The following is a 2,326-nucleotide window of genomic DNA, read 5'->3' as shown; positions in this document are numbered from 1 at the left end:
TAAAAATACATTTAGGAATGCATTGGTAGAGCAAATGCTTAATAGCAGACAGAGACTACTACCTTTAAAGGAATTTGAGTTCTATTAATCATAACCTTATCTATATAATATTCCAAATCTGAGTTATTGCTTTCACTCTGTGTTTCTGCAGCTCTCTCTGCCTGTTTTTACCACTGGACAGGAAGCTCCATGAAGGCAGAGTCAGTTTGACTTATTCCCTGTCTATTATATGCTCAGCACCTACCACAGTTTCTGGCACAAAGCAGTACTGTATTTGTAGAATGAATGAATAAAACCATTAGAAGTATTATAATATATGTGTGTGAATCATGCTATTTGGTCAACCTATAAGCACTGATTCATGCAAATATGGTGCTCCTGTGGGATCTCAGGGTCCACAGATTAGAAACCATGCATTTAGATTTATGTCTTTGTGCCCAATATTTTGTTCCATTTTCCTCATAGGGAGCTTACGAGTCAGTAGATCACAAACATTGGTCTCTGGATTTAGAGACAAACAATGACTAAAGCCAGGAGCTTGAACCAGGTGATCTCCCAAGGTTCTTCCCAAAATGAACAGTCCATGAGGACACAGTGCCTACCTTAAAGAAGGCCGAACCTTCCTGACACCCACGGGGACAGGGATGTTGATGACAGGTTCTCTCAAGAGCCAGCTTCTAACATTTGCAGGAGCAATAAGTAAGCTAATATCTGGCAGCCTCTAGGCAGTCTAGTTGCTATTTCAACCCCAAATGGGCCTGCAAAGGTACTTTGCCTGTTTCCTCTGTCAACCTATTTGTGCAGAGTGTTGATAACTGAAGTGACACACAGTAAATACTCTTTGTCTTGTAAGACATTTGCTGGCAGTGGAGATGAGGAGGGAAATGCAGGAGTTGAAAGAAAGAATGCTTAGCTTAGATTAAACTGTGTGCATGTATATGTGCCTCTCAGTGTGTGTGTTCACATTTAAATGCTGACCTCTCTCTTCCCTCTTCACACAACAGCTCCTTCTCTTGATTCTCCCGCGCTCTAATTTCTGCACTCTTCAAACAAAGATAGAATGGCATTCCAGGTGTGAACAAATCAGGGAGGTTTCCTGTTTAAGATTCAGAAATTCATAGCCCTGAGGAAGTGAGTAAAAGAGAGAAAGGGAGAGAGAAAGAGGGATGAAAACCAGAATCTCCGCCACCTGCTATTTAGTGATTAGCTTCCAGATAAGGAAGGCAAAGATGCATTCCAGGAGCTTGGGACTTGCCCAGACAGAACTCAGAGCAAAGGAGGGCTTAGAGAAAGGTGAAGCCAGAAATTACAGGAGGAGGCTGGGCTACTGAAAGTACCATCTATCAATTTTCTCTCCAAGCTCCTTCATTTCATGGAGCTCTTAAAAATGTCGGTTCCTCACTTCACCCTCTTATTGATCCTACCTCACCTGGTTTGGTTTATGTAAAAGATTCTTGTAAAGACTAGCTCTTCCACTAGCCATGTAACCCTGGGCAAACCACTTACCTTCTTAGATACAGTCCTAGTGGCTGCTGTCTCATGTGTTTAAATAGCTTCATCCAAACCCCTATGAAAAGAAGCCAATGACAACAACACACACACAAACAAAAAATACCGTAATTCCGGGCAGAAGCCCTGATGTGAGTTTGCAGGTGAGCAGCCTCTGCTCTAGTTCTTACTTGCATATATGCCAGGCCATTTGACTCACCCACAATGAAAAGCAAGTGCTTATTCATTCACTTATAGAGGAGCAGGCTGCTCAATTGTGGTGTTTTCCCTTCTCAGTAGAAAGGAGCGAAAATAATGTCTGCACAGCCTGTCCTTCTGTTAAATGCGCTACTGGAAAGGAGTCCCTATCCAGACCCCAAGAGAGGGTTCTTGGGTTTCGCGCAAGAAAGAATTTAGGGCAAGTCCGTGGTGCAAAGTGAAAGTAAGTTTATTAAGAAAGTAAAGGGATAAAGAATGGCTACTCTGTAAACAGAGCAGCCCTGAGGGCTATTGGTTGCCCATTTTTATGGTTATTTCTTGATGATATGCTAAACAAGGGGTGGATTATTAATCCCTCCCCTTTTTAGACCATACAGGGTAACTTCTTGACATTGCTATGGCATTTGTAAACTGTCATGGCGCTGGTGGCAGTGCAGCAGTGAGCATGACCAGAGGTCACTCTCACGGCCATCTTGGTTTTGGTGGTTTTTGGCTGGCTCCTTTACTGCAACCTGCAACCTGTTTTATCAGCAAGGTCTTGATGGCCTGTACCTTGTGCCAACCTCCTATCTCATCCTGTGACTTAGAATGCCTTAACCTGTCTGGGAATGCAGCCCAG

General features: G+C 43.2%; 2 annotated features.

The window, feature by feature from the left end:
• Positions 226 to 974: an enhancer, noted in NCBI's record as "OCT4-NANOG-H3K27ac hESC enhancer chr1:209557669-209558417 (GRCh37/hg19 assembly coordinates)". NCBI's record gives its function as "activates a minimal SCP1, AML or CMV promoter by ChIP-STARR-seq in naive H9 embryonic stem cells {active_cell/tissue: H9 hESC(naive)}" and the evidence as "EXISTENCE:reporter gene assay evidence [ECO:0000049][PMID:30033119]".
• Positions 975 to 1,722: an enhancer, noted in NCBI's record as "OCT4-NANOG-H3K27ac hESC enhancer chr1:209556921-209557668 (GRCh37/hg19 assembly coordinates)". NCBI's record gives its function as "activates a minimal SCP1, AML or CMV promoter by ChIP-STARR-seq in naive and primed H9 embryonic stem cells {active_cell/tissue: H9 hESC(naive and primed)}" and the evidence as "EXISTENCE:reporter gene assay evidence [ECO:0000049][PMID:30033119]".

Source organism: Homo sapiens, chromosome 1 (assembly GCF_000001405.40).
Source record: "Homo sapiens chromosome 1, GRCh38.p14 Primary Assembly".
Classification (NCBI taxonomy): Eukaryota; Metazoa; Chordata; class Mammalia; order Primates; family Hominidae; genus Homo; species Homo sapiens.
This window is presented reverse-complemented; position numbering and strand designations above follow the sequence as displayed.